This window comes from Homo sapiens, chromosome 9, assembly GCF_000001405.40.
Source record: "Homo sapiens chromosome 9, GRCh38.p14 Primary Assembly".
Classification (NCBI taxonomy): domain Eukaryota; kingdom Metazoa; phylum Chordata; class Mammalia; order Primates; family Hominidae; genus Homo; species Homo sapiens.
In genome coordinates, this window is record NC_000009.12 from 21,848,915 (window position 1) to 21,869,289 (window position 20,375).

Sequence of the window (20,375 nt, forward strand, 5' to 3'; positions counted from 1 at the left end):
GCAGCAGAGGCAAAGCGGCAATCAGAACAGTCTGACTCGTGTAAAGCTCTGGCACTGGCTAATTAATCACAGCATTCCTAGAAGTAAAATTCATAGGAGGCCTACTGCATTCCTACTTAATTTACATAAGCAGAAACTTCTAGGTCAAATGGACAAAAAACTAATTTGAATTATAAAAACAGACTCACAGCCCCTCAACCAATTTCCAGACTTGAGCTAGTTTACAGACCCAGAACCCCTTGAATGAAGGGGAGGCCAGGTCCCGTTGAGGAAGGACCCCACTATATTACCAACAATTTATGCTGTGAATCTTTCTCCCGTCCTTCCCCAAGGAGACCTCCGACCTTTTACCAGGGTAACTGTGCACTGGGGAAAGGGAAATAATCAGACATTTCAGGGACTACTGGACACTGGCTCTGAGCTGATGTTGATTCCAGGGAACCCAAACTGTCATGTGGTCCTCCAGTTAAAGTAGGGGCTTATGAAAGTCAGGTAATTAATGGAGTTTTAGCTCAGGTCTGACGTGCAGTGGGTCTTATGGGTGCCTGGACTCATCCTGTGGTCATTTCCCCAGTGCCAGAATGCATAACTGGCATAGACATACTTAGCAGCTGGCAGAACCCCCACACTGGCTCCCTGACTGGTAAAGTGATGGCTATTACAGTGGGAAAGGCCAGATGGAAGCCATTCGAGCTGCCTCTACCTAGAAAAATAGTAAAGCAAAAACAATACCACATCCCTGGAGGGATTGCAGAGATTAGTACCACCATTAAAGACTTGAAAGACGCAGGGATGGTGATTCCTACCACATCCCCATTTATCTCTCCCATTTGGCCCATACAGAAGACAGATGGGTCTTGGGGAGAATGACAGTGGATTACAATAAGCTGAACCAAGTGGTGACTCCAATTGCAGCTGTTGTACCAGATGTGATTTCATTGCTTGAGCAAATTAACACATCTCCTGGTACCTGGTATGCAGCCATTGACTTGGAAAATGCCTTTTTCTCTATATCTGTCCATAAGGACCACCAGAAGCAATTTGCCTTCAGCTGGCAAGGCCAGCAGTATACCTTGACTGTCCTACCTCAAGGGTATATCAACTCTTCAGTTTTGTGTCATAATCTTATTCAGAGAGAACTTGATCGCTTTTTGCTCCCACAAGATATCACAATGGTCCATTACATTGATGACAGTACGCTGATTGGATCCAGTGAGCAAGAAGTGGCAAACACACCAGACTTATTGGTGAGGCATTTGCATGCCAGAGGATGAGAAATAAATCTGACTAAAATTCAGGGACCTTCTACCTCAGTAAAATTTCTAGGGGGTCCAGTGGTGTGGGGCCTGTGGAGATACTCCTTCTAAGGTGAAGGATAAGTTGCTGCATTTGTCCTCTCCTGCAACCAAGAAAGAGGCACAATGCCTAGTGAGCCTATTTGGATTTTGGAGGCAACACATTCTTCATTTGAGTGTGTTACTCTGGCCCATCTATTGAGTGACCCAAAAGGGTGCCAATTTTGAGTGGGTCCAGAACAGGAGAAGGCTCTGCAACAGTTCCAGGCTGCTGTGCAAACTGCTGTGCCATTTGGGCCATATGACCCAGCAAATCCAATGGTCCTTGAGGTGTCAGTGGCAGATAAGGATGCTGTTTGGAGCCTTTGGCAGGCCCCCATAGGTGAATTACAGTGGAGCCCTCTAGGATTTTGGAGCAAGGTCCTGCCATCTTCTGCAGATAACTATTCTCCTTTCGAGAGACTGTCCTTGGCCTGTTACTGGACTTTGGTGGAAAGTGAACTTTTGACTATGGGTCATCAAGTCACCATGCGACCTGAACTGCCTATCATGAACTGGGGGCTTTCTGACTCATCTAGCCATAAAGTGGGTTGTGCACAGCAGCATTCAGTTATCAAATGGAAATGGTATATATATGACTGGGCTCAAGCAGGTCCTGAAGGCACTTTGCTGTGCCCGTGCATGGCCTCCATCCTTGCCACCTGGACACTTTGGGCTCCTCCTGCCTTTAAGTCAACAGGCTAAGAAGGGAGTTACAGTGCTGGCTGGGGTGATTGACCCAGACTATCAAGATGAAATCAGTCTACTACTCCACAATGGAAGTAAAGAAGAGTACACATGGAATACAGGAGATCCATTAGGGTGTCTCTTAGTATTACCATGCCCTGTAATTAAGGTCATTGGGAAACTACAACAGCCCAATCCAGGCAGGACTACAAATGACCCAGACTCTTCAGGAATGAAGATTTCAGTCACTCCACAAGGAAAAAACCACAACCTACTGAGGTCCTTGATAAAGGCAAAGGGAATACAGAATGGGTAGTAGAAGAAGGTAGTCATCGATACCAGCTACAACCATGTGACCAGCTACAGAAATGAGGACTGTAATTGTCATGAGTATTTCCTCCTCCTTTTGTTAAAAACATGTTTGTGCATATATACAGTTGTACTAAGAAAATATCTTCATTGTATTTTCTTTCTCCTTTATCATATGACATGAGATTTATTGACTTCACATCAACATTTAAGTATTGCTAACTTTATGTAGTAGTATTTGGGTTGGTGTTTGGTGCATTTCCAGTTGCACAAAGGATAGCTGTATTATGTTACGTGTAATTATGACCTTATTATTGTCTTTATTTGAAGATTATGTATGATCTCAGGAGATGTGTATGGATTCATGTGGACTTGTGATGGTTAACACTGAGTGTTAACTTGATTGGATTGAAGGATACAAAGTATTGATCCTGGGTGTGTCTGTGAGGGTGTTGCCAAAGGAGATTGACATTTGAGTCAGTGGGCTGGGAAAGGCTGACCTAGCCTTAATCTGGGTGGGTACAATCTAATCAGCTGCCAGCATGGCTAGGATATAAGCAGGCAGAAAATTGTTAAAAGAGAGACTAGCCTAGTCCCCCAGTCTACATCTTTCTCCCATGCTGGATGCTTCCTGCCCTCCAACATCAAACTCCAAGTTCTTCAGTTTTGGAACTTGGACTGTCTCTCCTTGCTCCTCAGCCTGCAGATGGCCCATTGTGGGACCTTGTGATCATGTGAGTTAATACTTAATAAACTCCCCTTTATTAGTTATGTCCCTCTAGAGAACTCTGACTAATACAATGGAATACTACTTAGCCATAAAAAAGAACAAAATGATGGCATTTGCAGCAACCTGGATGGAGTTGGAGACCATTATTCTCAGTGAAGTAACTCGGGAATGGAAAACTAAATATCGTTATGTCCTCATTTGTAAGTGGGAGCTAAGCTATGGGGATGCAAAGGCATAAGAATGATATAATAGGGCCGGGCGCAGTGGCTCATGCCTATAATCCCAGCACTTTGGGAGGCCGAGGTGGGTGGATCACAAGGTCAGGAGTTCAAGACCAGCCTGGCCAAGATGGTGAAAGGGGTCTCTACTAAAATACAAAGAAAAGAATTAGCTGGCCGTGGTGGCGGGTGCCTGTAATCCCAGCTAATCAGGAGGCTGAGCCAGAGAACTGCTTGAACCCGTGAGGCAGAGGTTGCAGTGAGCCAAGATCGCACTAATGCATTCCAGCGTGGGCGACAGAGTGAGACTCCATCTCAAAAAAAAAAAAAAAAATGATGTAATGGACTTTGGGGCCTCTGGGGGAAGTGGGAGAGGAGAATCAGGGATAAAAGACTACACATTGGGTATAGTGTACATTTCTTGGGTGACAGGTGCATCAGAATCCCAGAAATCACTACTAAAGAACTTATATACATCACAATAAACCACTTGCTCCCCAAAAACTATTGAAATGAAAAAAAAAAAAAAGCCTGGTAATAATGGTTTCCCTTGGGAAGGGACAGTGGTTTTCCTTGTACTATTTAAGTTTTGTACCATGTACAAATACGTGTTCCAAAAGCAGTGTTACTTCTATTCATTTTAGGAGTTAATATGAAAGTCCTGACATTAAATCTGTTTAGGCTGGTGATCTAATATTGCTAGTTCCTTGGTGAGGGTTGTGGTACTTTCACTACCACATCCGTCTGTTTAGTAGTTCAGTGATTACACGAGGTAAGAAAATGAAATCATCTTAAACTCAGACCTGGACCTTGACCCTGTATTTGATATTTTTTGCTGCCTTAAGATAGTGTTAGCTGTTCTTGAAGGAATGCAAAATGCTGGTTCAGGTGGCTGACATATATTCATAGCCTCCATTTCTTCCTCCTCCTCATAAGCATGGTACCTATCTCCCAAAGTGCCAGAGTGACAGTGAGGACTTGTCAAGAGCCATTCATCTCTAGAAGCACTGTGAACTTTAGCCAAGCATATGGTTCAGTTATTCAGGATCTTTAAAGACATTATTGAACCAGCGGGAGTGGGCTTGTTATGTCTTAACTTTAGGGGGGAAAAGGGGGTGGGGTAGAGATTTAGGCTTTTGCATTTATAACATATACTTTTTAGGGAAAAGTGTTAATTAAGCATAATTTTATTTTCAGCATTTATAAGATAAACATGATGTAGCATCAACTGTTCATTGTCCATAGCTTGCTAAATTTTGAGTTGCCAAGACTCTTGTGAAAATTCTGTTTCCCATTGCAGTGGCATAGTGTAAGTTATTTTTTAAGGAAATAGGTTAATTTGTTTATGTGATGAACACATGTGCAGGTGAGACTTTGCCCAGATTGGAGACTTTGACTTTGAGTCACTCCACTTTATTTATATAGTATCCCAGGAAGGTTAGCCAAATATGTGTAGAAGCTGCCAGTATTAATGATTGTTAGAAGACCAGCTTAGTGCATACAGTGTTTACAGCGCACCTGGCATGCTTCTATGCTTGTATATACCTTAGTTCATTTAATCTTCCTCATACAATTGAATTATGCGATATCATTATTCTCAATTTACACTTGAGAAAACTAAGGCATACAGAGATGATTTTTCAACAGTGCTTCAGTAAGTTAACAGTTAAGTTGAAAAGACTTTTTTTTAATTAAAAGGGAATATTGAATAAGCTAAGAAAAAATGAAGGTAATTAATAACTTGAAGATTAGATGTGCAGTATTAAATAAAACACTGGAGAAAAGGATCGAACTTTTCAATGATGTTTCTAAAAATCCATGCCTAGCCTTGCCACTAAAGGAATTCCAAGATGTTTATCCCTGTGAACAGAAAAACAATCAGCACAACTCTGTGGAAAGGCAATAGGCAAAAGAGAAATCACTTTCTAACCAGCAAAAGCTTTTACAGAAGTCTTCAGATTCTGTATTTTTAAAAGTAATGAGAATTAACTTTTCAGAAGCCTGGAAATAGAACTCAACACACCTGTTTGAGAAGATAAGCGACGAGAGGCACCTTAGCTTAGCCTGCGAGGTTAAAAGTTAAGACTCCAGTCTGTATTCTCAAACCAGCTTAGTCTCTTAAAGTTGTTAAGAAGCAAATGAGATTAAAGCATATAAACAAATGCCTGGCGAGTAGAAAGAGCTCAGTGCTTGCTTGTGTAGCTATTAGTTTCTACATGCAAAGGGCTGGGGAAACAGGATTATGTGAATGAGAAAGGGTCCAGGAAACACCCTTCTGTGGTCCTCTAGGTTTTTTCTGAGAGCCTGGCAGATAGTAGGCATTTATTATAGTGACAAATCATCTTTAAGAAATCAACTTGGTAAACATTGGGGGGAAGTGCAGCCTTAAGTTGTGCATGTGCTAGTATGTTTTGAAGTTTCTGGTTTTTCTTTTCTAGGTTCTTATAGAGACTGCTAAGAAGCTAGGACTCCGGTGCCACTCAAAGGGGACAATGGTCACAATCGAGGGACCTCGTTTTAGCTCCCGGGCAGAAAGCTTCATGTTCCGCACCTGGGGGGCGGATGTTATCAACATGACCACAGTTCCAGAGGTGGTTCTTGCTAAGGAGGCTGGAATTTGTTACGCAAGTATCGCCATGGCGACAGATTATGACTGCTGGAAGGAGCACGAGGAAGCAGTAGGTGGAATTCTTTTCTAAGCACATATAGCATGGGTTTCTGGGTGCCAATAGGGTGTCTTAACTGTTTGTTTCTATTACGTTAGTTTCAGAAAGTGCCTTTCTACAAGGTTTTGAAGTTGTTAATATTTTCTGTAGTTCCATTGGAAGGTAAGAACAAAGATCAAAGGAAAGAAAGAGACACTTTTACCCAAGGATCAGTAGTGAAAATAGTACATTGTAGGCAGGTAGATGTGTTGAGAATCATACTAAGACTTGGGCCTTATTTTCAGGATAAAGGTGTATTTTGATTGCCAATTTCTGCTGCTATGCTACTGTTTTTTGTTTTCAAGAAGGAAAAAAATCTATTAACCCTTTCCTCATGAGAGGGCTGTATGTTCACATCCATCTATTTAACGTACCGTGGCTGGATACTCTGTTCAGCATAGAAATGTGACAACAAACAGAGAAGTCCTTAAGGAGCCGACATTCTGTCGGATGGAGATAGAAGTTAAGCAAACCAATATAAGAAAGCTAACGGTTATAAAGAAATAGAATGGTGAGGTACAAGGGTACACTAGGTCAACTGAATAGAGTTGACCAGACCAAATATTTGAAGTATGAGAAGCCTTCCTGTTTTAAGTGTGATGGGCAAGAAGGGCATGATTGAGTAGAGTGGAAAGGAGGGAGACTGGGGAGAAGGGAGAGAGAGGAGGGATGCAATACAGTAGGGCCAGGCCATACAGACCATGGTAAGGGTTTCAGATGGAAGGACAGTGAGGGGTTCAGGCAGGGAAGGCAGCAGGATCCAGCTGGAATTTGAGGACACTGGAACAATGAGGTCAGCTTCCAAAACAAAACAAAACAAAACTTTAAACATCTGTGTAAGTACAGGGTGGAATATAATGAATTCCAGGTACCCATCACTTAGGTTCCACAATTAGCCATGGCCAATCTTGTGTGATAGGTATGTCCCTACCTATTTCTCCCCTGCCCTCATTGTGAAGTAAATATTTTCCTAAAAGGTCTTTTTAAAATTAAGTTATAACCATGCCATCATTGTACAAAAATAATGATATTAATTTCTTAATATAATCAAATATTCAGACTATTCCTTTTTCCTTCAGTCTCATAATTTTTAACAATTTGATCAAATCAGAATCCCTTACAATCCATATGTTGTATTTTAATGATTACCTCTTGTCTCTTTTAATCTAATTTTCACCTCTTTCTCTTTTTATTCCTTGTGTTACTTGAATAAACTAGATCGTTCGTCCTGTCATTTATCTCATTTTAAGATAAAGGGACGACAAAACTGCAGTCACTTTTGAAGTAAGGAAAACATTTAGGGGTGACTTTCTGAGCACATTTAGGGTAAGTGACATCTCCAAAGAGGCCTAATATTGTACCACCGTTTTAGAGAGTTTGTTTTACTATCTAATGTGTACAGTGTTTTGGGTCATAGATGAACACAGGTTCTTTGTTTTTCATGAATTCCTTATGATGACTCTTCAGTGTAATAAACTGTTTGCTTAGTACTAGGATGCCTTTTATGTAAGAGATTCGCAAATTATTACATTAAGTCACAACATAATATCTTATTTGGCAGCTTTGGTAACCTAAGGAACAACTCAGCCTCGTAATGTCAAGAAGCTGCTTCCAATTAATAGGAAACTCCAGCCCCTGCCACACCCTGAGAGCGGTTTGCTTCCTGCCTGTGGCTTTCTGCTCAGTCTAATAACATATGTCTCCTCCTTTGTAGAACCAGCAGTGATTTCCTTTAGTAGCCAAATGAGGTTGGGGAAATAGTCAGCTGGAGCTACTTTATTGAAAAGCAGAGAAATTAAGCTCTGTAAGTGGAAAGGCTTGAAGACAGTGTTAAATGCTACAAGGAAGGCCCACAGAAAGATGGCATTATTTCAGCCAATCGTGTGTTGCAGCCTGGCATGGCAAAAAGGATTTGGAGTTCTCTAAACCCATCTTCAGATTTGAGTTGCTCCATTTGCTTGTCACATTGGGCGAGTTATTTCACTTGTTTACTCTTCTGTAGAATGAAGCCAGGGCTCTGGGTGAGGAGTGGAGGTTGTTTAGTCATTGTTTAGTCAGTTAGACCTTGAAAGATTACTGGAAGAATTAAACCAAATGAGATATGTAAAAAAGCTAGTATAATGCTGGCTTGTAAGAGGGTGGTCATCAGATGGTGGCTCTGATGGAGTGGGGGGCCTGAGAGGTGGGTAGTATCAGGGAAAAGCATTTAAACTGCACCTTGAAGAGAGGGTTTATTTTGGGAAGGTCAGTAGGAAGGACATTTTGGGTGAAGCCCAACAGCTGGAACAAAGAGAAGGGAGGTCAGTGTCTATACAGAAATAACCAGTCACAGGAAAAATATATAAGGAAATGAGTAAATACAAGGCAAATTTCTTGGATGCTTCATGTCTGCATTCAAAGACTCAGCTTAAAACATATCATTTACATGTGCCTGGCAGATACCCAGCCTGTCACTGCTTTGTGTTCCCATAGTAGTGCAAACTCCCCTCTGCTACAGTGTTCATCATTTTTTCCTATACACATCTTGGTGTTTGTGGGTGGGATCTGGACTATGCTTAAGGAAATAGAAAGATGTAATCCTTGTGTCCCTGAATGCTGGATTTCTTCGAAGCATAGGAAGGCATGTCAAGTACTCTATCTCTGATGGTAATTTTGTGTTCACTTTCTTCAACTTTTTCTTATGAAGCTATTTTAGTCATATACAGAAGTAGCTAATAGCACGAGCTTCCATGAATTCAGCATCTAGCTTCAACCATTATATTAACTTACAACCAATATGATTATTACTCCCATCAATAATTTTATCCATAAACACTTCAGGAGGTATCTAACATGAGCACATTATCATTTTCATTCTCCAATAATAATTCTTTAATATACCCAGCCAGAATTTAAATTTCTGGTTAAATGCCTTAAATTATTCTTTTGGTTGCAAGCTTTTTATGAAGGAACCAGATCATTTGTCCTGTTGAGTTTCCCACAGTCTGAATTGCTGAAATCATCTCCTTGGAGTAGTTTAATAGGCTTCTCTGTCCTCTGTATTGTCTATAAATTGGTAGCTAGATTTAGAAATTTAATCAGATTCAGGTGTCTTAAGGTAGCATTTTATTTTTTCATCAGGAAGCACATAATGAGTGGTTTATTTGGGATTTTGTTTGGTTCGGTTTGTGATGTTAGCAGCCAATCCATTAATTCACTGGGAGCCATAAAAATGGTGGTATTTTAATTCCATAATATTTTTCTTTAGTAGCTGGAATAATTTTCTAAGGAGAAACGTACCTGTTTGGTTTTCCAGTGTAGCAACAGTTTTAACATTGTAATCCCTTCGGCTGTGGACATGAAGAGAACAGCCACATCTTTCTAGACCATATTAACCCATTATACATCTGAGATATTTTCTCCGATACCATATTGAAATCTGTATTAGTCTGTTATCACATTGCTATGGAGAAATACCTAAAACTGGGTAATTTATAAAGAAAAGAGGTTTAATTGGCTTATGGTTCTACAGGCTGTACGGGACGTGATGCTGGCATCTGCTCAGCTTCTGGGGAGGCCTCAGGAAACTTCCAATCATGTTGGAAGGCAAAAGGAGCGAGGCATCTCACATGGTGGGAGCAGGAGCAAGAGAGAGTGAGAGGAGAGGTGCTGTACACTTTTAAACAATCAGATCTCACAAGAACTCACTATCAGTAAAACAGCACCTGAGGATGCTGCTAAACCATTCGTGAGAAATCCAACCCCATGATCCAACCGCCTCCCACCAGGCCCCACCTCCCACAATTCGACATGAGATTTGGTGAGGACACAAATCCAAACCATACCAGAATTCATCAGTGCTTTTCAGAGATGTCACTGAGTTTCTCTAGGACCTCCGTGCTAGGACTAAGACCATCTTGATAAATGCCGAGCTTGAACTCAGGGGTTTAAACGTAGAATAAACAGACTTCACAAGTCAGGTTTTTCTTAGTCTGTCTGGACTGTTGTAACAAAATACCATAGCATGGGTGGCTTCTGAATAACAAGTTTATTTTTCACATTTCTGTAAGTTGAGAAGTCCAAGATCAAGGGACTGGCACATTTGGTGTCTAGTGAGAGCCCACTTTCTGGTAGACAGCCATCTTCTCACTGGAACCTCACACGGTGGAAGGGGCCCTCGAAGAATAGCACTGGGGCCTCTTTTGTAAGATCACTAATCCTATCCACGAGGACTCTGCCTTCATGACCTAATTGCCTCCCAAATGCCCAACCTCCAAATACCCTACATTGAGGATTCGGTTTCAGCAGATAAATTTGAGGGGACACAAACATTTAGGCTGTAGCAAGGCTGGAGCTCAGAAAAATGTTTTATGACAAGCAGTGGAATTTTAAGTTCTAGTAACCTCCAGTGCTATTGTTTCTCTAGGTTTCGGTGGACCGGGTCTTAAAGACCCTGAAAGAAAACGCTAATAAAGCCAAAAGCTTACTGCTCACTACCATACCTCAGATAGGGTCCACAGAATGGTCAGAAACCCTCCATAACCTGAAGGTAAGTGTCAGCCATGGACAATCAGGCATGTCTGTAGACTCTCTATTGTCTTCTTTTCTTACTTGCATTTCACCTTTGGTCCTCATGTATTTTATGCCAGCCTAGATGTTTTCAACAAGTTTTTGTGACATCTACTACTACCATACCAACCACTTGTGAAACTGAGTAGTCTTATTTTCTGGCTGGTAGTGCAAGACCACTGAAGGCTAGGGTTGAGAGAGTTTTATTATCTCGTGTACCAGATTCTTCACATTGCCCTGCTCTGTAGTATCCCTAAGTCTTACTTCAGAAGATTGATAGTGCTTTCTCTGCATATCGCTTACATTGTTGACAAAGCTATTTTCTCTTTGGCAGATCCATTCAAATTTGTGGCAATCCTTTAAAGCCAAAACTCTGACAATAGTACCAAAATGGTGCCAGAAAATATCTGCTTAAGGTTAATCATGCATCAAACTAAACAGTAATTAATGATAAACCAACTCTAGTATTCTCAGAATATAATTTAAACTAACTGATAAACTCGGAGTTGCATGATTTTTCTTTGGGCACTTTGTGACTCTTCTTAACCACATAGGGAAAGACTTGTCTCAAACTGATCAGATATTGCATTCTCCTACTATCCAAAGAGGACCATACCCCAAAGTCTCCTAGAATACACCTGTACTTTTGGGTCTTCTGGTGGTGGTGGAGAGAGGATTTGAAAGGTTGATCTAAGCCCTCCTTACCTGAATTACCACCTAGGAGCTCTGTAATGAGAGAGCCACAGTTTTAGTATAATGAGGACATTGTATGGTGGTAAGTGACTGCCAATCACTGGGCATGGCAGAGCCTTGATTTGTAATGTTTGCTAATTTACGTGGTACAAGTGCTCCAGTACGGCCAGTTTCACACTACTAATGTGAAGCCACTGATGAGTTGAGAAGTGATACACACAGCTCTTGCAAGCTGGTACGAACAGAATCCAGCACACCACTGTAACTAAGGTGTCTCTCAGCAGTTAGGACTGACGGTCAAGAATGTTGGAATTTGTAGCTTATCTTCCCTACTAAGAAACAAATCTATTGGTTTCAACACTGTATACCTAGGACCTAAATGTTATTTAATGAATAAATGATACTCCTTTCCCCCATGAAGTGTTTTATCATAATATATAGAGATGCAGGAAACCCTTATTATTAGAATTAAAAGGGAAAAAATACATTTGAGTGCAGTCAAATGGCACAACTGGAGCTTGCATAAAAAAACGCATGTTGGTTTGCCAGAAATGTGACTCCTACTTGTACTATTGTTAGCAAAATGTCATAGAAGTTTGTTTGTTTATTTGTTTGTTTGTTTGAGACGGAGTCTCATTCTGTCACCCAGGCTGGAGTGCAGTGGCACGATCTCAGCTCACTGCAACCTCTGCCTCCCTGGTTCAAGCGATTCTCCTGCCTCAGTCTCCTGAGTAGCTGGGATTACAGGCATGGACCACCATGCCCAGCTAGTTTTTATATTTTTAGTAGAGACTAAACCTAGTAGATGACCAACATGGTTTCATCATGTCGGTCAGGCTGGTCTTGAACTCCTGACCTCGTGATCCACCCGCTTTGGCCTCCCAAAGTGCTGGGATTACAGGCATGAGCCACTGCGCCCAGCCAAGTTTATTTTTTTTAAGTCTCCCAACTAACCCCACTTTGACCATAGTCTTTCAAAAGCTTGAAGTTAATTTCTCAAATAATATATTTACTGTTTTAGCTTTATTTTTAAGTAAAAATGCTTGAAGAGTAGAAATCAGTGTTCTCCTTTCCTGGAGCTTCTGAAATTGTAAAATTGTGTGATTTTATTTGTATGCATTTTTAAAGAGGCTTAGTTTACGTAGCTTTCATCGGATTTTCAAAGGAGGATTTTATATATATGTGTATATATATACACACATACATACATATACACACACACACATATAAAACCTAAAGAGAGAAAATGAGGAATTCCTGCTCTAGACAAAACTGAGAATCTTGGTCTTCATGCTACAGCATTAAGGAACACCATACTAATAATCCCTTTTTCTGGGGTAGTATTGTTAGCACTGAAATGTGTATCATTCATTCCCTCACTAAGTCATTTCAGAAACACTTAGCACCTGCTATACGTCAAGGTCTGGTTTGCAAAGATAAAGAGTTGTGATGATGATCCTATGGTGTTTGGAGATATAGACACATAAAAATTTCAATGATTTCTTACAGTGGGGTAAGGATAAGGGATAGAGGTTGCATAAACAATAATCCAGGCTGGGGGCTGGTATGGCAATAAGTGATTATCAGAACAATGCTCTGAGATAAGCATTATTAACCTCACTTTACAGGAAAGGGAGGTGAGGAACCAAGAGTTTAGAGTACCCGAAGTTCCACATCTGGTTAGTGAACTTGAAAATTTTCTGTAGAATTTATTTAAAGTGTATGTTTCCTGCGTCCTCACTTTGATCTAGAAAATCAAAATCTGTTTTTTTTTTTAACAAACATCTCAGTAATTACGCCAACATGTGAATATCACTGCCTCCTTTCTTCCTTTCAGAATATGGCCCAGTTTTCTGTTTTATTACCAAGACATTAAAGTAGCATGGCTGCCCAGGAGAAAAGAAGACATTCTAATTCCAGTCATTTTGGGAATTCCTGCTTAACTTGAAAAAAATATGGGAAAGACATGCAGCTTTCATGCCCTTGCCTATCAAAGAGTATGTTGTAAGAAAGACAAGACATTGTGTGTATTAGAGACTCCTGAATGATTTAGACAACTTCAAAATACAGAAGAAAAGCAAATGACTAGTAAACATGTGGGAAAAAATATTACATTTTAAGGGGGAAAAAAAAACCCACCATTCTCTTCTCCCCCTATTAAATTTGCAACAATAAAGGGTGGAGGGTAATCTCTACTTTCCTATACTGCCAAAGAATGTGAGGAAGAAATGGGACTCTTTGGTTATTTATTGATGCGACTGTAAATTGGTACAGTATTTCTGGAGGGCAATTTGGTAAAATGCATCAAAAGACTTAAAAATACGGACGTACTTTGTGCTGGGAACTCTACATCTAGCAATTTCTCTTTAAAACCATATCAGAGATGCATACAAAGAATTATATATAAAGAAGGGTGTTTAATAATGATAGTTATAATAATAAATAATTGAAACAATCTGAATCCCTTGCAATTGGAGGTAAATTATGTCTTAGTTATAATTAGATTGTGAATCAGCCAACTGAAAATCCTTTTTGCATATTTCAATGTCCTAAAAAGACACGGTTGCTCTATATATGAAGTGAAAAAAGGATATGGTAGCATTTTATAGTACTAGTTTTGCTTTAAAATGCTATGTAAATATACAAAAAAACTAGAAAGAAATATATATAACCTTGTTATTGTATTTGGGGGAGGGATACTGGGATAATTTTTATTTTCTTTGAATCTTTCTGTGTCTTCACATTTTTCTACAGTGAATTTAATCAAATAGTAAAGTTGTTGTAAAAATAAAAGTGGATTTAGAAAGATCCAGTTCTTGAAAACACTGTTTCTGGTAATGAAGCAGAATTTAAGTTGGTAATATTAAGGTGAATGTCATTTAAGGGAGTTACATCTTTATTCTGCTAAAGAAGAGGATCATTGATTTCTGTACAGTCAGAACAGTACTTGGGTTTGCAACAGCTTTCTGAGAAAAGCTAGGTGTTTAATAGTTTAACTGAAAGTTTAACTATTTAAAAGACTAAATGCACATTTTATGGTATCTGATATTTTAAAAAGTAATGTTTGATTCTCCTTTTTATGAGTTAAATTATTTTATACGAGTTGGTAATTTTTGCTTTTTAATAAAGTGGAAGCTTGCTTTTTTAACTCTTTTTTTATTGTTATTTTATAGAAATGCTTTTTGTTGGCCGGGCACAGTTGCTCATCCATGTAATCCCAGCACTGTGGGAGGCCGAGACGGGTGGATCACAAGGTCAGGAGATCGAGACCATCCTGGCTAATGCGTTGAAACTCCGTCTCTACTAAAAATACAAAAAATTAGCTGGGCGTGGTGGTGGGCACCTGTAGTCCCAGCTACTCAGGAGGCTGAGGCAGGAGAATGGTGTGAACCTGGGAGGTGGAGCTTGCAGTGAGCAGAGCTTGCAGTGAGACGAGCTTGTGCCACTGCACTCCAGCCTGGGCAACAGAGTAAGACTCAGTCTCAAAAAAAAAAAAAAGAGTGAAATGCTTTTTGTTTGCTTCAGTTTTTTATCATGGGGAGATCTTTTTCCTCAGAATTGTTTTCTTTTCACTGTAGGCTATTACAGGATACTTCAGGATCAAGATACAGAACCTTTTATTTAAAGAGTTTGTAAAGTCAATGTGTTTGTTTGTGTCTCTGAGATTGACTTCAAGATAATAAGCTGCTAATTGTAAACAAAACAGTTACCCTCCAGTATTAATATGACTCATTAGTGTGAGCCATTTGGGTCAAGTATGATTATGACCCTTGGACTTCCTGATGTAGTATTAAATTTCAACTCTGGTTATCCATTAGCAATCTGTAGAGAACTTAATGAACCTGAACCCAGGCTTCTCTAGCTCTGGTAACGTGTGATTGTTTTCACTACAATATGATACATAGATGGTACCTTACTTTTCCTCATTCTTAATAGGTGTCTAAGAATGTCAGGGCAAAAGTATGGGCATTTTTCTTGCTATGTTCAGAAAGTACAGTTCTCTCCAACTTGCAGAGGTACTTTTCTTGATTAAATAGCCTTCTCTAGCAACATCATTTTCAGACTAACTAAATGAATGCAGTATACTCTTTTCTTTGTTCTCAATCATTCACTCCTTATGCAAAGCCAATATAATTTTCCTCATACCTTATGCTTGAGGATATTGTTGAAGAACACTTCCTGGAACACTTCTCACTTGTGATGCTGTACTAATTTTTTTTTTTTAATTTAAGCTAGTATACTAAGTGAACACCATGGTCAGTTGTGAGCATTTTGGTTTCCGCAAAGGATGGATGGTGAGCATCATGGGAAAGCTGTAGTTTAGTGACTTAGCCCTTAGTGATTAATAGATTTGCATGTACATAGAAGTCTTTGTTGGCCTTATAATCTGCTGTTATATTTGGCATGGATTTTCATGGTTTTGAGAATGACATCCTGGCCCTGTGGTCCCCGAGGGTCATGGTCCTTGTGACCTGGCCCCTGTTCACTGCCCCCTTCGCTAGCACGAGTTGCTGTGCAGGGCTGGAGGTAGCTACCATGGCTTGTTTCAAGGAAGGAAACTCTGGTACGGTGGCACCCTCAGGAGTGGAGGACAGTGAACTTCCTTGAAGAGGGAGTGACTAAGGTGACCTCCAACCTGCCCTGAGCCAGCTGCCCTGCAGGTGCCACGTGAGCCTGCTCTGGCATCCACAGGATGCTCCTGGAGCCTCTTCTCTGGCTGCTACCTCAGGGCATGGTTGTGGCCCCACCAACACCTATTTTCCAAATAATTATTCATTCTTGTGACAGTGGCCTGAACATGTTTTTAATTTTCTCAACAAGCATTTAGCCAGCACTTATCCAGTGAAACAATTTGATAAGGTTTCAAGGAGTATCTGATGGGTTAGGAAGTCACGAAATGAGGAGTTCTTGCCACATTTGCAGAGTCCCTCCTTGATAAGGTTTGGCGGTGTCCCCACCCAAATCTCATGTTGAATTGTAGTTCCCATAATCCCCACATGTTGTGGGAGGGACCCAGTGGGAGGTAATTAAATCATGGGGGTGGTTACCCCCACACTGCTGTTCTCATGATACTGAGTTCTCACAAGTCCTGTTTGTTTTATAAGGGGCTTTTCCCCCTTTTGCTCAACACTTCTTCCTGCCATCATGTGAAGAAGGACGTGTTTGTTTCCCCTTCTGCCACGATTGTAAGTTTCCTGAGGCCTTCCCAGCTATGTGGAACTGTGAGTTAATTAAACCTCTTTCCTTTATAAATTACCCAGTCATGGGCAGTCCTTTACAGCAGCATGAGAATGGACTAATACACTCCTCAAATGTTTTGAAGATTGTTGCACCTTGGAACTACCAGTGTGCACACAATCTGGCTCAATGTATATATTGGCCCAGCAAGGCAAAGAACTGAAGTTCCAGGATGGAAGAACCTGTGTTCTCCTCATAATAGTATAGAATAATTCAAGATAGGCAAGAAGGACAGCAGTAAATGAAGACCATGGAAGAAAAGAAGGAATGCCAAAGATCGAGGAAATCTACCAAGACTAGTAGGGTAGTCCAGAAGAAGCTGTTTCAGGGCCTGTTGCCAGCTATGCCTTTGAGAACCTCGGGATCCCAAAGAATGAGGGGAATTTCTTCAGAAAGACAATCTCGGCATGCATTATTTCTTTGTTTTGAAGATTCACTCATGTTGCATGCATCTGTAGCTTGTGCCTTTTTTATTGCCTAGTAGTATTCTGTCATATGCCTATCTTACAATTTGATTATCTATTCACCTGTTGATGAATGTTTGAATTTTTTCCATTTGAGGAATTTTATGAATAAAGCTGCTATAAGCATGAAATTACAAGTCTTTTTGTGAACATATTTTCACTTGTGCAAATGCCTATACTCCCACCAGTAATTTGTAAGAATTCTTGACAAAGCTTGGTATTGTCAGCGTTTTTAATTTTAGCCATTCTATTGGGTATATTTTGATATCTCGTGGTTTTGATTTGCATTTTTCTGATTAAAGATGTTGAACTTCTTTTCATGTGCTTATTGGCCATTCACATATTTCGTGAACTATCTGTACAAATATTTTTGTTTATTAAAAAATTAGATTGTTTTGTTTTATTATTGAATAGTAAGAATTGTTTATATATTCTGGATACACTCTTTTTCAGATATGTGTGTTGTGACTATTCTTAGTCTTTAGCTTGCCTTTTCATTTTCTTAATTATGTCTTTCAAAGAACAAGTTTTTCATTTTGACGAAGCCTAGTTTATCAATTTTTTTTATGGTTGGTGCTTTTTGTGTGTTCCAAGAAATCTTTGCCTACTCATTTAATTACCTGTGTGCCCTTGTCAAAATCATTTAATTTTGACTACTCACTTAATTACCTTGCCTACTCATTTAATTACCTGTGTGCCCTTGTCAAAATTTACTGTTTATCTGTGAATCTGGATGATCTATTTATGTCATTTATCTATGTGTCTCTTCTTATGCCAGTACCCCACTGTCTTGATTATTGTGGCTTTATGGTGTCTTGAAATTAAGTATTGTTAAGCTTTGCAATCTTTTCCAAGATTGTTTTGGCTATAGGTCCTTTCTTTATAAAGTTTATATTAAGCTTCTCCATTTTTCTTTAAGAAAAAATCTGCTGGAATGGCACTGAATTTTTAGGTCGATTTGGGAAGAATTGACAATATTGAACCTTTCAATCGATGGACATGGTATGTTTCTGCATTTATTTGGGCCTTTTAAAATTTATCTCAGCAATATTTTGTAGTTTTAGTGAAGAAGTCTTGTATATATCTTTTGTTAAATGTATTCCTAAATATTTTGTGGAAATGTTACTGTAAATAGTACTTTAATTTCATTTTTAAGTTTATTGCTGGTATACAGAAATATGTTTTATTTTTGTATATTGACTTTATATTCTGTAATCTTATTAAATTCACTTAGTTCAGTAGTAGTTCTTATTTTTATTTTATTGCAAGTGCCTTAGGGATACCTTGTGTACACAATCATGTCATATATGAATAACAACAGTTTACCTTTTGTTTCTTCTTGCTTTGTCGTAATGGCTAGGACCTTCAACCTAATGTTGAATAGAAGCGGTGTGTGAGTTGTTACTCTTGTCTTATTCTCAACAGCAGAGGATAGCGTCTAGTTTTTCACTATTAAAATATGTTAGCTATAGGTTTTTTCCGTTTCATGTTTTTATCAGATTGAAGATCCCTTTTATTCCTATTTTGCCAAGAGTGTCATGAATGCATGTTGAATTTCACCAAGTACTTTTTCCTGCATCTGTTGAGAGAATCTTGACTTTTCTCTTTTATTTTGTTAATGTAGATTCTTTAATGTTAAACTGATCTTGCATTCCTGATATAAACCATACTTAGTCATGATATGTTATCCCCTTTATATAATGCTGGATTCGGTTTGCAAATATTTTGTTTGATTTTTGCATCTATGCTCATGAGACAGATTGGTCTGTGATTTTCCTTTCTTGTAAGTCTTGTCAGGTGTCAGGGCTTGGTTAATTTTGACACATTTACAAACATATATTTTTAAGATAAAAATAAACTTCAAAAAAAAAAAGATGACGACAGCCTGAGTTGTTTATATACAGAATTTGTTAACCAAAAAGATTGAAAAAGGCTGGAACAGCAGGTTACATTTGATACCTGAAAATATTTTGCAGCTATAAATGCATCTTGGAACTGTTATAGGCAAAAGCTTGGGAATGGCTAAAATTCTCAGTGTCATAGGATGTTTTAAATAAACTAAGGTACATCAATTCAAATAAGTAATGTGCAGTTGTCAAAAAGAATAGATATCTGTTTATGCACCAGTATGGAACAATGTTCATGACAAAAGGGGAAATCAAAAATACATAGAGTAAAATAAGTTTGTGGTGATGTATAGATAGGATGTTTATACTTCATATTTCCAGAAAGGTTCTGGAAAGAAACTTATTGATGGCTTCTGAGGGATGAATCAAGAGACTTAAACTGTCTACTTCATACCTTTCTATAGTGGTTGAATTTTTCACCACAGGCAACTGTTCCTTTAATTGATATATTTTAAGGAATGGATACTAGAGGAGACCTAGCTTCATAGCAGTTTATGTAACATGAGATAAAATATATGATTCTTGGCATTAACTTCTGATAGGTTGTGCTTGGGGCACTATATCCAGTTCTGGGCACAATGCTTTCAGGAGGATGACTATCTAAAAAGCACCAAGAGAAGAGTGAAGGGACTGAAAAAACCATGCCACATATGTAATACTTAAATGGGTTAAGTATATCTAACTACTTAGGAGAAAGCCTTCAATGAGAACTTTGTTTAGGGGCTGTCATTCTCTTACAGACATGTGCCTCCCTCACTGTTCTGTAAGCTTTTGTAAAGGCAGGAGTTGTTTTTTTAACTCATCAGTTTAGGAGCCTCTTTTCCTTGTATTTAGCACAAACTCAACAAATATTTGTGTAAATAAAAATCTGATTACGTTTCTTTCCTACTTAAAACCCTTCATCAGCTCTCCCAAACACCTCCCCATGTTCACTTTCAGCAGGTGACTTTAGTTCCCTCTTCACAGACAGAACTGAAGCATCAGCAGAACACTTTCAAGACCCCCCTCTGCTGCTCTCTCCCAAACTGTTTTCCCTCCTGTTACCATCTGTGATAGTGCTTCTCAAACGGGAGCACGCATCGTCATCACCTGGAGGGCTTATTAAAACAGGTTGCATGGCACCACCCCAGAGTTTCCGATTCAGGATATCTGGAGCATGGCCTGATAATTTGCATTTCCAACAAGTTCCCAGATGATGCTGGTCCCACTTTGAGAACTACTGTCATAGATGTTTCTCCCTGATCATTGTCTTATGCACCAGACCCCATACCTCACACCTAGTAAGGACATCAGTCTAGTAACTACCCATTTCATAATCATTTTTCTCCTTATTATTGAATCACTTTTTCAGCACACAAATATACTTTATTTCTCCCATTAAAATTCTTGACCCCAATTCTATGTGCTGGCTCATTTTTAAGCTTTTCATTGGCATAAAATCCCTCGAGTTATTGTTTCTCCTGCCTCCAATTCCTCTTCTCCAGTCTTTCCTTAGTCCTCTTCATTTCAGATTTTGCCAGTGCACCATCTTCAGCACCAACA

General features: G+C 39.3%; 1 protein-coding gene across 8 annotated transcripts in view; it reads left to right on the forward strand.

Moving 5' to 3' along the window:
- Positions 1–20,375, forward strand: part of MTAP (methylthioadenosine phosphorylase) — a 138,480-nt gene that overhangs the window by 46,279 nt on the left and 71,826 nt on the right. For 3 of the 8 annotated variants that reach the window (NM_001396044.1, NM_001396043.1, NM_001396041.1), the window contains exons 6-7: positions 5,717–5,956; positions 10,389–10,511. In NM_001396044.1, coding sequence (NP_001382973.1) covers positions 5,717–5,956; positions 10,389–10,511 — 363 coding nt within the window. Of the gene's footprint in view, positions 1–5,716; positions 5,957–10,371; positions 10,512–13,061; positions 18,168–20,375 lie in introns of those variants that run through there. The other 5 variants (NM_001396040.1, NM_002451.4, NM_001396045.1 and 2 more) reach the window with 3 other exon arrangements.